Source organism: Homo sapiens, chromosome 6 (assembly GCF_000001405.40).
Source record: "Homo sapiens chromosome 6, GRCh38.p14 Primary Assembly".
Lineage (NCBI taxonomy): Eukaryota > Metazoa > Chordata > Mammalia > Primates > Hominidae > Homo > Homo sapiens.
Genome location: NC_000006.12, coordinates 38,337,382 through 38,352,158, shown reverse-complemented (window position 1 = coordinate 38,352,158; position 14,777 = coordinate 38,337,382). Strand labels below are relative to the sequence as shown.

General features: G+C 39.4%; 1 protein-coding gene across 8 annotated transcripts in view, besides 1 other annotated feature; it reads left to right on the top strand.

Moving 5' to 3' along the window:
* Positions 1-14,777, top strand: part of BTBD9 (BTB domain containing 9) — a 471,479-nt gene that overhangs the window by 287,771 nt on the left and 168,931 nt on the right. For 6 of the 8 annotated variants that reach the window (NM_001099272.2, XM_047418146.1, NM_052893.2 and 3 more), the window contains one exon: positions 7,066-7,175. In NM_001099272.2, the coding sequence (NP_001092742.1) occupies positions 7,066-7,175 (110 nt within the window). Of the gene's footprint in view, positions 1-6,390; positions 6,499-6,888; positions 6,926-7,065; positions 7,176-14,777 lie in introns of those variants that run through there. The other 2 variants (XM_047418145.1, XM_011514281.4) reach the window with 2 other exon arrangements.
* Positions 4,966-5,572: an enhancer, noted in NCBI's record as "OCT4-NANOG-H3K27ac hESC enhancer chr6:38314363-38314969 (GRCh37/hg19 assembly coordinates)". NCBI's record gives its function as "activates a minimal SCP1, AML or CMV promoter by ChIP-STARR-seq in primed H9 embryonic stem cells {active_cell/tissue: H9 hESC(primed)}" and the evidence as "EXISTENCE:reporter gene assay evidence [ECO:0000049][PMID:30033119]".

Sequence of the window (14,777 nt, the reverse complement as noted above, 5' to 3'; positions counted from 1 at the left end):
GTGATCCTCCCACCTTGGCCTCCTGAAGTGCTAGGATGACAGACATGAGCTACAGTGCCTGACCCCTAGTAGATTTTTATTAAATCTTGATACTAGCAGATTTACCCAGTATACCTTAAAGGCTATCGTATGGTATATTTGCAGGCAAAAAAGTACATGAATTAAATACATTTTAGATCTTATGTCATTTTTATATGATTTATGTAAATATTATAATTTTTGTGATATTAATTCAAAATATAATTTCATACACTGAAGGCACATCAGGCACATCATGGCAGGTTTTAGATTGTGCATATTTGGTGAACAGCAAAAGCCTACTGTTCAAAATTCACTTTTCCCCCAAATAAAAAACAATTACGGCTGGGGCGGTGGCTCATGCCTGTAATCCCAGCACTTTGGGAGGCCGAGGCGGGCAGATCACGAAGTCAGGAGATCGAGACCATACTGGCTAACATGGTGAAACTCCATCTCTACTAAAAATCAAAAAAGTAGCCGGCGTGGTAGCGGGTGCCTGTAGTCCCAGCTACTCGGGAGGCTGAGGCAGGAAAATGGCGTGAACCCAGGAGGCGGAGCTTGCAGTGAGCTGAGATCACGCCACTGCACTGGCTATAAAGTGAGACTCCATCTCAAAAAAAAAAAAAAAAAAAACAACAACAATTAAATATTTGTCTTTAGTATTGGAATGGCTTTGTGTATTAGTAATTATTTCTACCTATCTCATCCCTTCCATATAATTGATTCTATATAGTATGAGTTTTCTCTCAAAAACAAGACTTTCTGTTTTGTTTGCTCTTCAGGTTGAATAGTGGAGGTGCCAGGACATGATAGCTCCCTTTGCAGGGCAAATGGTCAGATAGCATCAGGCTGCTCTCTGAGACAGTAGCCTCTGCTTAGCCCTGTGTGTAGTGTTTAACCTTTCAATAATCCTTCCTCTCCCAAACAAGCAAATGCTGCTTGGCCCCTTTGCTGAAGTCAGTACAAGAGAATCTATAGCTCCACAGACCAGCCAGAGGGAAGGTTTTCTAAGAGTAACAAATCTTTCTTTGCAACATGCTTTTCTAGAAGCTTTTTGTCATTCTGGCAGTAAACTTGTTTTCCACTTGCTGCCTTAGCAACAAGACCTGAAGTCACACCCCCTCCAGTCAGTGGCTTGATTATAAGAGCACTAACATTATACACAGAACTAGAAGAAAATTTTACACTGGGGAAAACCACAGGCATTACGTGCTTCTTGGGTTAGAGAATTATTTGTGTATAATCTTAGTATCTCCTTAAAGGAAAAGGTCAAATAGGAATCTTGGAAATGGTGCATCTAAACCTTGGGTGATCTCAAATCTCTAGTGAATGCTGTAGCTTAAGTTCTTGTTAGGTGCCTGCCTCTGGCCACAACAAACAACAATGTTCTCCGCAGAGTCCTCTATGGTTACTGAAGGAAGAGCCAAAATGTTAAGGTTCCCTTCTTTTGTACCAATCTCAGGCTAACTCTAGTTTTCAAGATTCTTTGTTTAACCTAAGAATATAAAGTTCAATTTGAGAATAAATATTTGTTTACCAAAGAGTGGAATTCAGATGGATTTTAGCTTTAGTTAATCCCTTGAGAGCTCATTTAAATATTTCTTACCAAATTCAATTTTATGTTGTAATAAAATGTGCTCAGTACAGAAGTTAGGTGATCACATAACTAAGGCAAAGGTTAAGGATTAACTGTAACCACAGGTAGGCTTGTGCTCCACTAGAACTGAAGACTGCGGAATACCACGGGTTTAAAGTTGGAATGCAGAAGTTGCTGTTTTTCTATATTGTCTTTAGTATGTTAAAGGTGTACTGTATGTGCCTTAGAAATTAAATCTAGTAGCATCCTCATAAGCAATGACGGAAAGCTAGATTAAGAAAAGGAACTCGTACCTTCCCAGAACAGGCAGAGAATGCTGTGAAATCTCCAAAGCAAAATTTCTTTAGGTCATAGTACTATGCTGTCTCTCTGTAAAGAAATTCATTTTTCTTAACAAATTCAAATTCCTAACTTCCAGGGCTTACAAAAAAAGAACCACGTCACTGGGTATGGTTAGCTGGACCACATGGCCCTGAGCAGTCTCCCTGGATTTCACATTCTCTGCCAAGAAGGGATCCTGGGTTGGAGGAAGGGAGAAGATACTTTAAACTTTAAACCCAAATATGGGCAAAAGATTGTTCCCTTGCTTCCTCATGCTTAGCTAAGACAGGTCAAGAACATTTTTTAAAGGCTTGAGGATTAAAGCGAGAAGTGCCACAGAGCTAGGAAATCTACATTCTGAATGTCGCTTGCTTTCTATGGCCCATAGACCCCATACTGTGGTGTCCTAAGTGGAAGGACAAGCCCCTCCCTGTGTTCCTGAAGTCTTCTCCTTGGCCTGCCTCTCATAGATGCACCATTTTAACATCTAAAGTCAGTAATACAGTAATCCCCTCCTTATCCTCAGGGGATAAATTTTAAGACCTTCAGTGGATGCCTGAAACTATGCATGGTACTGAACCTTATATATACTGTATGTTTTCCTATGCATGCATACCTATGGTAAAGTTTAATTTATAAATTAAGCACAGTGAGAGATTAACAACAATAACTAATAATAAAATAGAACAATTATAACAATATACTGTGAAAAGTTATGGGAATGCAGTCTCTCTCCCTCTCACTGTCTCCAAATATTATACTGTACTGCAGATAACTGAAACTATAGAAAGCAAAACCACAGATAAGGGGGGACTAACTACTGTACTCTCCAAGACAACCAGCATTCTCAAAGTCCTAACCAAGAAATTCTGCATCCTATAATCTACTCTTTGAATTTCTGTTTAATGGTATCCTACTCTGCCAAGCACTGCATTCGATATTTTCAATACTTGTCTCATTTAAGTACCCTGTAAAGTTCGTGTTATTGACCTCATTTTATAGAGGAGGAAACTAAGTTTTAAAAAAAAATTTGGGGGTCAGGTGCGGTGGCTCACACCTGTAATCACAGCACTTTGGAAGGCTGAGGCAGGTGAATCGTTTCAGCCCAGAAGTTTGAGACCAATGTGGGCAACATCTCTACAAAAAAATTTGCTAGGCATGGTGGTGCATGCCTGTAGTCCCAGCTACTTGGGAGGCTGAGGTGGGAGAATCACTTAAGCCCAGAAGTTGAGGCTGCAGTGAGGCATGATCATGCCACTGCACTTCAGTCTGGGCAACAGAATGAGACCCTGTCTCAAAAAATATATGCATATTTTATTTTTTTCCCTTAAGTGACACACTTAATTGATGGAGCTGGGCAACAAACCTGATTCTGTTGGATGCTAAAAGCCACATTGTGTCAAAACTCTGTAGTGCCTTTCAGTTTTAGAGTGCTGTCCTTGGAGGGTTTCAGTTTTATTTTATTAAAGAAGACAGAATCCCATTCACCCGTAATCTTATAGCTCCTAGAAAATTTCTGTATTGAAACATTGTGTACTGAACTATGTTCAGTATCCAGTCTTTGTCAGCTACTTGAAGACAGCTAACATAGGGAAGGGAGGGGAATATTGGAAACAGACTGTTACACTATGGCTCACGTGGACAGCGTTCATCCTCATCAGAAATGGCCAATCTGTTGCATATCTGCCTTTCTCTGCACTGTTTAAGTTTTAATTATCTTCCAACTGTCTGAGCTGCTGTTGAGGACCTCAGCAAGAACAAAGGATATCTGTTCTATTTTTCAGCAGTTCTCCTCTCTACACACTGATGAAGTCACTAGCTGCCACTGCCCTTATTATCTGGTTAAATCAGAGTCTGACTTGTGCTGAAAAGGCAAAGAAATAAATCTTAAACTTTACCTATATTCAGGATTTCTTGTGACAGAGAAAATGTGATACCTACTTCTCCCGTTTTGGTGTTATGACCGAGAACCAAGTTTTGTTTTGTTTTTCAGAAAAAGCAGAAAGAGAGAGGACTCTCCCATTCCTATCCCTTGGATTTTTCAATAACTTGGGTAGTAATAACTTCTTTTATCTTGGGATGCTCCACCGTGAGCCCCGTTAAGGAAATATGCTCGTTGTCAAGGATGGTACCTGTGCTCCCTCCTCCCACTTTCAGTCATTGCTCATGGAGCAGGGCACTACTCCTGTGCTGGACAGCGCCTTTTTTGTTGTTGTGGTTTGTTTTGAGACAGAATCTCACTCTGTCACCCAGGCTGGAGCACAGTGGCGCGATCTCAGCTCACTGCAACCTCTGCCTCCCAGTTTCAAGCGATTCTCCTGCCTCAGCCACCCAAGTAGCTGGGATTACAGGCACGTGCCACCAAGCCTGGCTAATTTTTGTATTTTTAGTAGAGATGGGGTTTCACCGTGTTAGCCAGGATGGTCTTGAACTCCTGACCTCAAGTGATCCACCCACCCAGGCCTCCCAATGTGGTGGGATTACAGGGCTACCACGCCTGGCCCTGAATTCTTAATGTAGAGCTTCAGGCTGCTCCTACCAGTCATTGATGTTGGGCCATTAATTGAAGCCTTTTGCCATTTCTAGGCTAGATCTTTATATGGGGAAGGTCCAGGATATTTATAACTTTTTGCTTGAGAAAAAGGAGCTTGGCTTCTTTCTTTTGATGTCACATTTTTTAAAATGTGTATTTGAGTAGGGACTTTATGCCATTTTTGCAAATTATGCTACAATTTTTTTCTAGAAACTTAGCATTGTAGAACTAGAATAATTAAACTTGTTATGAGCATTACATATAACAGGCTGATCAAAAGGTGTGAGATATAATGGTGAATTGCTAATTTGACTTCAGGATTATGCAGCAGAGATAACATTATCTTCATTTACACAGAACTTTTTATCTGGAGGCATCTCTCAATGCTTTTCCCACCATATATATTATTTTGTTTGTGATCACAAATACTATCATAAGGGTATAAAATGTATTCCAGTATAACTTTTTATTCTCAGTTGCTTATAACTGCGGGGCAAAGGAGGGGAGGGTTGCACATTTTCTCGCATTCCTAATGTTTGCACTGGGTAAAATTTGGGAAATTAGTTATCTAAACTTGGAAAATCTGATTCCATATAGTGTTTTAAAAAGAAAGAACAGGAGGGAAGGAAGGTTATTGCATCCCTTAGGTCAGCCTGGAATATATTAACCTTAAGAACCGCCATTGGGAAAAGGCCCTGTTAGTCACTTCCTGGCTCTTCTGTGCACAGTAGGAGAGCTGTCTCTCCTTTGGTAGAGACTTGAGCTAGAGAATAGCGAAATGATCTGATCAAATTCCACTAAACCACATTCCCTCTATTCCCTCCAAGGTTGCAGACAGCAGCACTCAGGCTGACACAGCCATATGTAGTTGAAAAATGCTATGCTGGTTGAGTTCCTGTGGGTTTAAGGAAATGGACAAAATTAGATTCAGGCCAAGGTGCCAGAATTAATACACCCCTTCCCTTCCAGAAAGCACCAGGGAGATTGTCACTGCCAAAGTGAAGGACAATATAATCTTTACTACCCAGACCGGTAAGAACTTATGTTGAATGAACCTACCCACCCACCCAAACCCAGTAAAATCAATACCTTCTGTCTGCCTTGAGGGCTTGAAGGAACAGATTAGGGCCAAATTCCTGCTTAACCAGTGGGCTCTGGTACATGTAGCAGTTGCCCTGATTCTCAACACGGGAAGAGTGGTGTCTCCTTGCAGTAGGTGTGAGCACACTGGACAGTCAGTTCAGGACATAGCATTAATATTGGTTATAAAGGTGAGTGATCAGCTTATGTCAAGGAGCAGATGGCTAAATGAGGTGCACAGGGAATGCCGTGAGAGTCAAGCTTGAAGAATCAGGAGGGAAAATAGCCCATGATATAAAAACCCCAAATATAGTTTCCTTAATGTGAATTTTCTAAATCAGCATTTACATTATACAGTTAACTTGGACTGATGAGAAATGTAAGGAAATTACCAAATTAGTGAATAGCGATTAACTCAGAAGTAAAATTATATCGTCTAAATTGAAGGTTGTTTTACACAGCAGAGGGGAGGAGATTACTAAAACCTTGTCCAGTCTGTCATATCCTAATTGAAATCTGTTCATTTAATATACCCCATCCTTCAGAGTGCATAGTTCATAATCTGGGAGGCATTATCAGTTAATCTAGTTATTTTTCCTGGTTCTTACTTTGAATTCCAGTAAGACGGTGTGTGGCACATCCCTCATGGAATTGTGTGACACTCAGAAGAATGAGTTTGTTCATTAACCTGTGAACTGTCAGGTCCCTTTGGAGAGTGAAGAGAGCAAGTTACTCCAAGGTTAATGCTTGTTTGTCGGAGATGAAGTCTCCAGGGAGTTAAAGAGGATGAACAGGCCAAGATGCTCAAGGGCTGCCCAGTGAAACTCTGCACTGTGTGCAGGTGCCAGATTCACGTGGCCAGGAGGGAGGCTGCAGAGCAGGCTGGGCCATCTCTACAGATCGCTTCCTGTGGTCAGGAGACTTCCCAGCAGTCAAGTGGGGGGCTGGCGTAAGTATATAAGGTTAACTTCCTAACAAAGATTTAGGAGCAGTAGTAAAATAAAAGAAACTGTGAGTAGTTTTCAGTAGTTTCTGGATTTTTTCTTTTAAACAAGAAAGCAATATTGATTTCGTGTGTTCATCTGCAGTGGATTAAATCTTCCATTGAGCTGGAAAGCATTTGCTTGTGCACATGTGCTCCAGCACATTCCTAACCACAAGGCAAGAGCAGAAGCTATTTGTTATTCTCCGGTATAAATGTCTTACGGTCATGTACCTGACTGACATTCAAGGGTTGAACTGAACAGTACCTGGTTTGGTTTTCTGGGTAAATCAAATCTAAGTTCTACTTAATTCCCTGCAAAATGACATGTCCCTTATTTTGCTATAATTCTTCTAGGTTCAATTGGAGCTACCCATAAGGAGCAGATATAGAGTCTGAAGTCAAGCTCAGAGTCTCCTTTGGTCTATATCCTGGTGCACTCTATGTTTAGGTGACGTGTCTTACTCTGTTATCCTTGGATTGGTTGTGGTGGGAGCTCATTTTCAACACATTTTCTTTTCTTTTTACCGTCAGGTATATTCGAATTGTTGGGACTCACAACACAGTGAACAAGATTTTTCACATTGTGGCTTTTGAATGTATGTTTACAAACAAAACCTTCACTCTTGAGAAGGGGCTGATAGGTAAGTATTACCATTAGATTTTTGTATGTATATTTGGATATTTTATCTTCAAATACTTTGTTACTCTCTTAACTTATCTTAATCAGTTCTAAGGACTCTGGTTGATTTAAATGCCTTATTGCTAGGTGACATAGGGAATGGCTTACATTTTTTAGAAGTATTCAATATAGTAATTCCAATGAACTTAAAAGAATGAATGTAAATGTTGTACTAGTGCTAAAGAATTGAAAATATTTTAGTAATTCATTCAGATTTGCTATGTAGGGAATGTTTGTGATAGTCAGGTGAAGCCCCTCACACCAAGGGATTTAATGATAGGCGAGTTTGAAGAGAAGTCTGTATGATATTGATTGGATGTTCAGACTTTCCATGGCTGTGCAGGTATTTTGGCCTTTGATTGGATATGAGTGGTATGCTTAGCTGTGGAGGTATCTTCTTTTCATGGATATATGAATTCATGTTTGCCCGAAGTAGCCTCAAGAAAGTTCAACTCACAAAAGTGCCTCCATATAATTTAAGTAAGACCAAAGTGACTGAATTGTCACTTTTGAATTGTCATTGCAAAAGTCAAGTTATTTGGTGGGAAATACTGCCTGACTGATATTTGGAAAGAGGATTTTAAATTTTAGTGTAATTGTTTGCTTGGTTGTTTTCTGTCTTGTTTTGTTTTTATTTTCAGTAATGGGTAGTCTGGGCGTTGTGCACAGTCCATCCCAGGTCTTGACATTCTAGATACCATGAGTGGCTTTGCCCATCCAGACTGTTTATTCTGCTTTTTTTTCCCCCATGCCCATAGGTTTTCACTCACCTGCTGCAAAGATCATGCTTAGATCAATTAGCTCCTTGATTCTGTCCCTTTATTGCAGTTTGCTTTGAGAAGGGACTTCATATGTTCCGGTGTGGGGATAAGATGTCCCTGCCTTGTGGTCTAAAACAGAATTCTGTACCTTTACAAAGGGACTCATGTCTCCTCTCTTTCCCAAGTTTTGTTCATGTTGGCACACATGTCCATACTGACCTAAAAGCATGGGAATAACTATAATGGGAAAGATGAGTGTAACTTGCAAATGTTTATTAACTCTTTGAATGGTCGTAGCCTAAATTTTCCTAACACCTGCTGTGTCTAAAACCTAATCCTTTACTTATAGAGATTTGGGAGAATAATATTAATAAAGTAGCAGGAGTGGAAAATTTTCCAATATAGAGAGTGTTTAGAGCTCAACTGAAATAGCTGCCTTGGTTTTAATTTTGTTATGAACATAATTTTAACATTAAATATAAATATTAATAATTTGTGTGACTTTTAAGTAATTTGAAAGTTATCAAGTTTGAAGCATTACCTGATATTGTTTTTTAATTCTATAGGCTGTACAGAATTGTGGTGATGGAGGGTTGTGGGGAGGGCATTCTTTTTCACCTGTTGTCCAGGCTCTTCCATAGACTGTAGGCCTCACTGTATATCTGACTGTGTAGTTAGGAGAGCCCTCAGTGAGAAGGATCTTAGAAACCAAGACCCTTCTTATTTACAAGATGTGTAGCATTTGGCTACTCATTTCAGCTCAGAGCACTGCATTTTGAACATGCTGCATGGAAGGTACCATCTACATCAGTCAGCCCCCTCTTAGGAAGAACAGGTTTGTGGACACTGTAATTATGAAAGAAATAAGCCTATCTGGCATGAGACTCAGGATTAGTTGTAATGAGGGGTGCTGTTGTTGGCATGCATGTTTTGTCCAAATTGAACTAGTCAGCATCATCAGAAGCTGTAACAGTCTCAGATATGTTGGTGATGAAAGAAAATTACAGAGAAACAAGAAGTGTTTTTGGTGTCTGGTTAAACACTCTTCAAGCACTCTTCCATGGTGCTCACAAGTTTGACTGCAAAGAGCACTGTAATCATCTGCCTCTTATTGTCCCTCAGCCAAGTGGGAGCAGTGGTGCAGGTAGGCAGATATGTACATGCGCTTGCCAGAAGATTGCCTGCAGTGGAACCCCCTCTGACCCTCCTTGGACCATCCTCACAGCTCAGAGCTGCTCATCCTCGGCAGTGGTGTGGGTGGTGAGGAAGTTCAGGGGGATTTCGTTATCCTCTGTCTGACGTTGCAGCTCTGCTTACCTTACAGAGGTGTTTAAAACAGTAATCTCCAGCTTTCCATGTTGATAATCTCAGGTGCATTTTAGCAGCACACAGGCCTTGGCCAGTCACCCTACTGGTCCTTGACAGGTCCTCTACGGGGGTACAGGTATGTCAAAATCACCTGGAGTTATTTTTAAATTGCAGATGCTTACTTCTTACACTTTCTTATATCCTGTGAAATATGCACTCCCCTCCTGAGAATCACTGATATGAACTCCATGATTTCTTGGGGGAAAAAAAGTAAAACTAAGATAATGTCATCATAAGTAATTAGAGTATCAAATCCTACTTTTTTTTTTTTTTTTTTTTTTGAGACAGAGTCTCGCTCTGTTGTCCAGGCTGGAGTGCAGTGGCACAATCTTGCCTCACTGCAACCTCCACCTCCTGGGTTCAAGCAATTCTCCTGTCTCAGCCTCCAAAGTAACTGGGACTACAGGTGTCGGCCACAACGCCTGGCTAATTTTTGTATTTTTAGTTGAGACAGGGTTTCGCCATGTTGGTCAGGCTGGTCTCGAACTCCTGACCTCAGGTGATCCACCTGCCCCAGCCTCCCAAACTGCTGGGATTACAGTCGTGAGCCACCATGCCCGGCCCTCAAATCCTACCTTTATGTTTCTAGATTCAGAACATTTTTCTTTCATAGTTCCTGGTCTTCTTTTCATAGTGCAGGCTCCTTTAGTTATTCTCTAGGCCTTAAAAATCACTTTTATAATATTTATCATTTTAAAAAGTCAGATTCTAATGTTATTATTTAAAATATATAATGATGACAGGAAATAACATAAGTAAAATTAAGCACACCCACTATATGAGATTTTAGTCTTCTTTTCCCACCAAAGGGGTTCTTTCCCATTTTTATGACTGTGTGTCATGCCTCATGCAGCTTCACTTGCACAGACTCATGGGAGGCTTTGTAGTCCTCGGGTTCATATAGCCACGAGAAGAGGCCCTCGCTCAACCACATTGCCCAGAGCTGGGCCTTTCTTCCACCTTTGCTGCTGCCACTACAGCCTCTTCTCATTTGGTGGCTGCCTCTGGATCTTGCTAGAATGTATTCTTTCCTGGGAGAGTCAGCCTGTGATGACTGTCTCCTCTGTGTTAGGAGGCATTTGTAAGAAACCCTAACTTGTCTTACCAGTGAGACATGGAAGAAGTAATTAGAAGAGATGTGACTGCTATTTCATAAATGTTCAACCTCCCAAAGAATGTATTTACTTTGCCTTAGCACTCCACTTTGGTGATACTTGCATAGTATTTGCCAAGTTTTTCTGCTTTTTGTAAGGATTTCCAAATCTTCCTTTTAATCTTGTGTTTAAATTCACTTTTTAATGCCCTACTAGTTATCCAAGTAGAGAGAATAGTACCTATCACCCAGCTTTAAAAAATTATCAATTCACAGCTAACCTAGTTTTATCTGTATGTGATCTACTTTGTTCCTATCAGATTATTTTGAAATTAATCTCGGACATTTTATCATTTCACCTATAAATACTTTATTATACACATCTAAAAGTAAGGCCTCCTTATTGTAGCCATAAACACAATACCGTCATACTACCCTAAAACTGAACAGTAATTCCTTAAGAGCATTAAATATGCAGTCAGTGTTCCAATTTCCCTAATTGTTTCAAAGTCTGGAGTGAGAATGTGTTTTTATAGGTTGAGTAAATCAGAACTCAGTTAAGGTCCATATTAGGCAAATAGCTGTTGTGATTCTTTAATCTCTTTAAATCTATATGTTCTCTTCTATTTATCTGTCTATCTTTGTCTGTTTTTCTCTAATTATTTATTTGTTAAGAAACTAGGCTTTTCTCGTATAGAGTGTCTACCAGTCTGGATTTTGGCCATTGAATTTCCGTGGTAACATTTAGCATGTTTATCTGTTGCATTTCTTGTAACTTGGTAGTTAGATAGAGCCTTAATCAGATTCAACTATTATTTTTTGGTAATAATGCTCCATAGGTAGTGTTGTGTGTATCTATCCAGAAGCAGAGAAAACCTCTAGTTGTCTCTCTGTTTTGGATGTTCACATCCATTGATGATTATTTCCTGGGTTCATTATTTCGTAATTTTGGATTGCAAATGGTTATTTTCCAAATACGTCATTCCTTCTTCATTTAGTCCCTAGAAAGAGAAAATTTTCCTCAACACTCATTTAGTAACCCTGAGATACAATTCGCTCAGGAAAAGAAGGATAAATGTTACATTCTTCACCAGTTTTCAAAATAAAGAGGTGGTTCCCTAGCATCCTTCAAGGGTGACAAAGGTTTGTTTGTGGGATTTGTTAGGGGGAGGTAAGTACATACATTTTGAGTTTGTGGGAATAAACACGATTGAAATCTTTTAATCACTTGCAGTTATTAGTAATGATATTCAAATCATTGTATCTTTAGTCTCTTCAAATTGGTTTTTGAGTCCTTTTGATAAGACTTTAGTAGTCCTTGATAGTTCCGTGCTTTCTGGCATAACAAGATGTACTAGGTTTATTTTGTACATTTCCTGCCCTTGATCTAGAATCAGCCATTCCTTCCTGAAGGCTTGATACCGTATAGAGGAAAATGACATTTGGAAACCTCAGTGTAGATACTGTAGATGATCTTTGCTACTGTGTTTGCTGCTATTTCTAGACCTTCAGTAGACAGAACTAGGAAATACGTGCACATACACTTAATTATTTATATGACATATATTTAGCAGATGAAATATATCATGAGTATATGCTGACACTTCTAATTCACATTCAAGATTTTTGTTTAAGCTTTTGATCTTTCTTTCATCTCTTTTTCCTCATAGGTAAAATCTTGGTTATCAGTGATACAGTACAATATTCATTTGCTCTATCCCCAATACATACATAACAGCTATGAACCATATGATTACCGAAATGAGTTTTAAGATTTTTGTTACTGATTTTTAGGTCCTTCTGTCTCTAGAAATATACAGTAAAATGACTATGTTTTGAAGTCACTTGCAACGATTCTCTGTGTAGTTATGCCACTATTTCAGTATACAATTAGGTTCATCTGTTCCATTTTGCTTTCAATATTTAGGGATTGCCTTTAAAAGACTTTTGTTTCCTAACTATGTGAAATACTTACATTGTTCCAAAATCAAACCTGCAAAAGAGCTATATTCAGAGAAATGAAGCTTCTATTCCTGCCCTCTCTACCTCTGTAAGTAATCTCTTTTTTTCCTCCTTTAGTTTGTTGTTGTTGTTATCCTTCCATTTAAAAGTGGGAAAATATATTTATTTCTGAATTTATATTTTGTATCCTCCCAACGTCTTTAAATAATTGGTAGCACACTATATACCATACATATTATATATTTTTTACCTTACTGTGCTTCTTTTTCTTTTATTTTCTTTTTCTTTTTCTTGAGACAGGGTCTTGCTCTATTGCCCAGGCTGTTCTAGAACTTCTGGGCTCTAGGCATCCTCTTGAGTAGCAAACAGGACTGTAGGCACATACCACCACACTTGGTTTCACCTTGCTTTTCTGTACAACACTTATTTTGGAGCTAGCTATAGAGAAAGATATTATTTGTTTCTTTTTATAGCTGCATGGTCCTCATTAGTATAGATATACCATCGTTTATTTAACTGATGTTAAATAAACAGTTTTCTATTGATGAACCGTTTGGGTTGTTTTCAATCTTCCACTACTACAAATAGTGCTATTGCCTTGTGTATAAGTCTTTTCCTATTTTTGCCAATATATCTTTGGGATAGATTTCTAGAGAAGGGATTGTATGATCAAAGAGTAAATGCACATAGAATTTTCCTGGATATTGCCAAATTCACTTTCACAGGGATTATAACATTTTTAAATTCTCCCTGGTATTGTATGATAAAGACTGTTTCCCCACAGCCTTGCCAGCAGAGCATGTTGTCAAACTTCTGGACTTTAGCCAGTTCGATAGGTGAGAAATGGTATCTCAGTGCAATTTTAACTGCATTTCTCTTAGGAGAGAAATTGAGCATCTTTTCATATGTTTAAGGGCCATTTGCATTCCCTTTTTTCTTTTTTAAATGGCTCTTCTCTTCTTATGAGTCTTCTAGGTGAATAGAGAATATGCTTTTAGTAAGACTTGGGGGAGCAGTAAACACTTTACACTGAGATTAGAGTGTGGCATTCAGCATTACAGAAGTCTGGTTGTGCTTCCTAAGGTCTCCTGGTTCTCCTGGAAAATAGAAGTTCTCATATGTCCCTCTCATCCTTGTCCCTGGTTCTACCTCTCTGCTTGAGAGATAATAACTAGGGCATAGAGCTCTAGGTTCAAAATTATGGTTTCTTTAACCCTTTCAAAGAATAGGAATAAGATTCTATTATCAGCTTTAGGCCGTTAAAGTGTTACTTTTGTGTCTTACCAGCATGGATCCAGGAAGACTGGTAACTTTTTGTTCTGTACAGTAGACCCCCTTATCTGTGGTTTTGCTTTCCGTGGTTTCATTTACCTGTAGTCAACTGTGGTCCAAAAATATTAAATGGAAAATCCCAGATATAAACAATTCATAAGTTTTAAACTGCATGCCATTCCTGGTAGCATGATGAAATCTTGTGCCATCCCACTCTGCTCCACCAGGGATGTGAATCATCTGTTTGTCCAGTGTATCCATGCTGTATATGCTAGCTGCCTGTTACTGTGTAGTGAAAAACATAGTGTATATTGAGTTTGGTACTACATGAAGTTTCAGACATCCACTGGGCATCTTGGAACATATCCCCTGCAGATAAGGGGGGACTACTGGGATTGGATCTAGGGCAACCAAAATCAGCAGCAGAAGCACAAGAACTCTGTTGCTGAAGCTGTCGGTACACTTACTACTGCTGCCACCACTGGAACTGTGCTATCTGAACAGAAACACCGGAGTCCATATTCACCTGCTGCTACCTTCAGTACCACCGGAAACAAATAGACAAGAACATGTCTTTTTCCTTCCTCCTATATTTCAGTCTTCCACCAGTCTCTTCTGTTGGCAGAACAAAAAAACAGGCTGGTAAGGGGAGTCTGGGAAACCGTAGTTTTCAAAGGTTTAGCCTCTGAGATCCAGTGTAGGACAAGGGAAGGAATAGAGCTGAAAGAAAACAGATTCCTGGCACAAAGACCGGAAGACAGGCACTGTAAAGGGGGCTCCTTCCAACAGGAAACTTACCATCTGATTCAAAGTAGCCGGACAGTCACATTGGCAAGGTATGGAAATAAGTGGAGTGGAGAACAACAGACAAAGGCATAAACAGGTGTGGAGAAAGGTTAAGTATTGATTTGGGCTGCAAAGGAACTGAACGTATCTCTTGCCTAGTAAGATAAGGCTTCATGAAGAATGGTATTTTGAGCTAGGCCTTGGAAAATTCAGTAAATATTAAGGAGCATTACAGAAGTGCTAATTTACATAGCAATAATACCGTTTCCCTCAGAGGAGCTGAAGATAGTAAATAGAAATAGGTTGTCTATGGTTACTACTG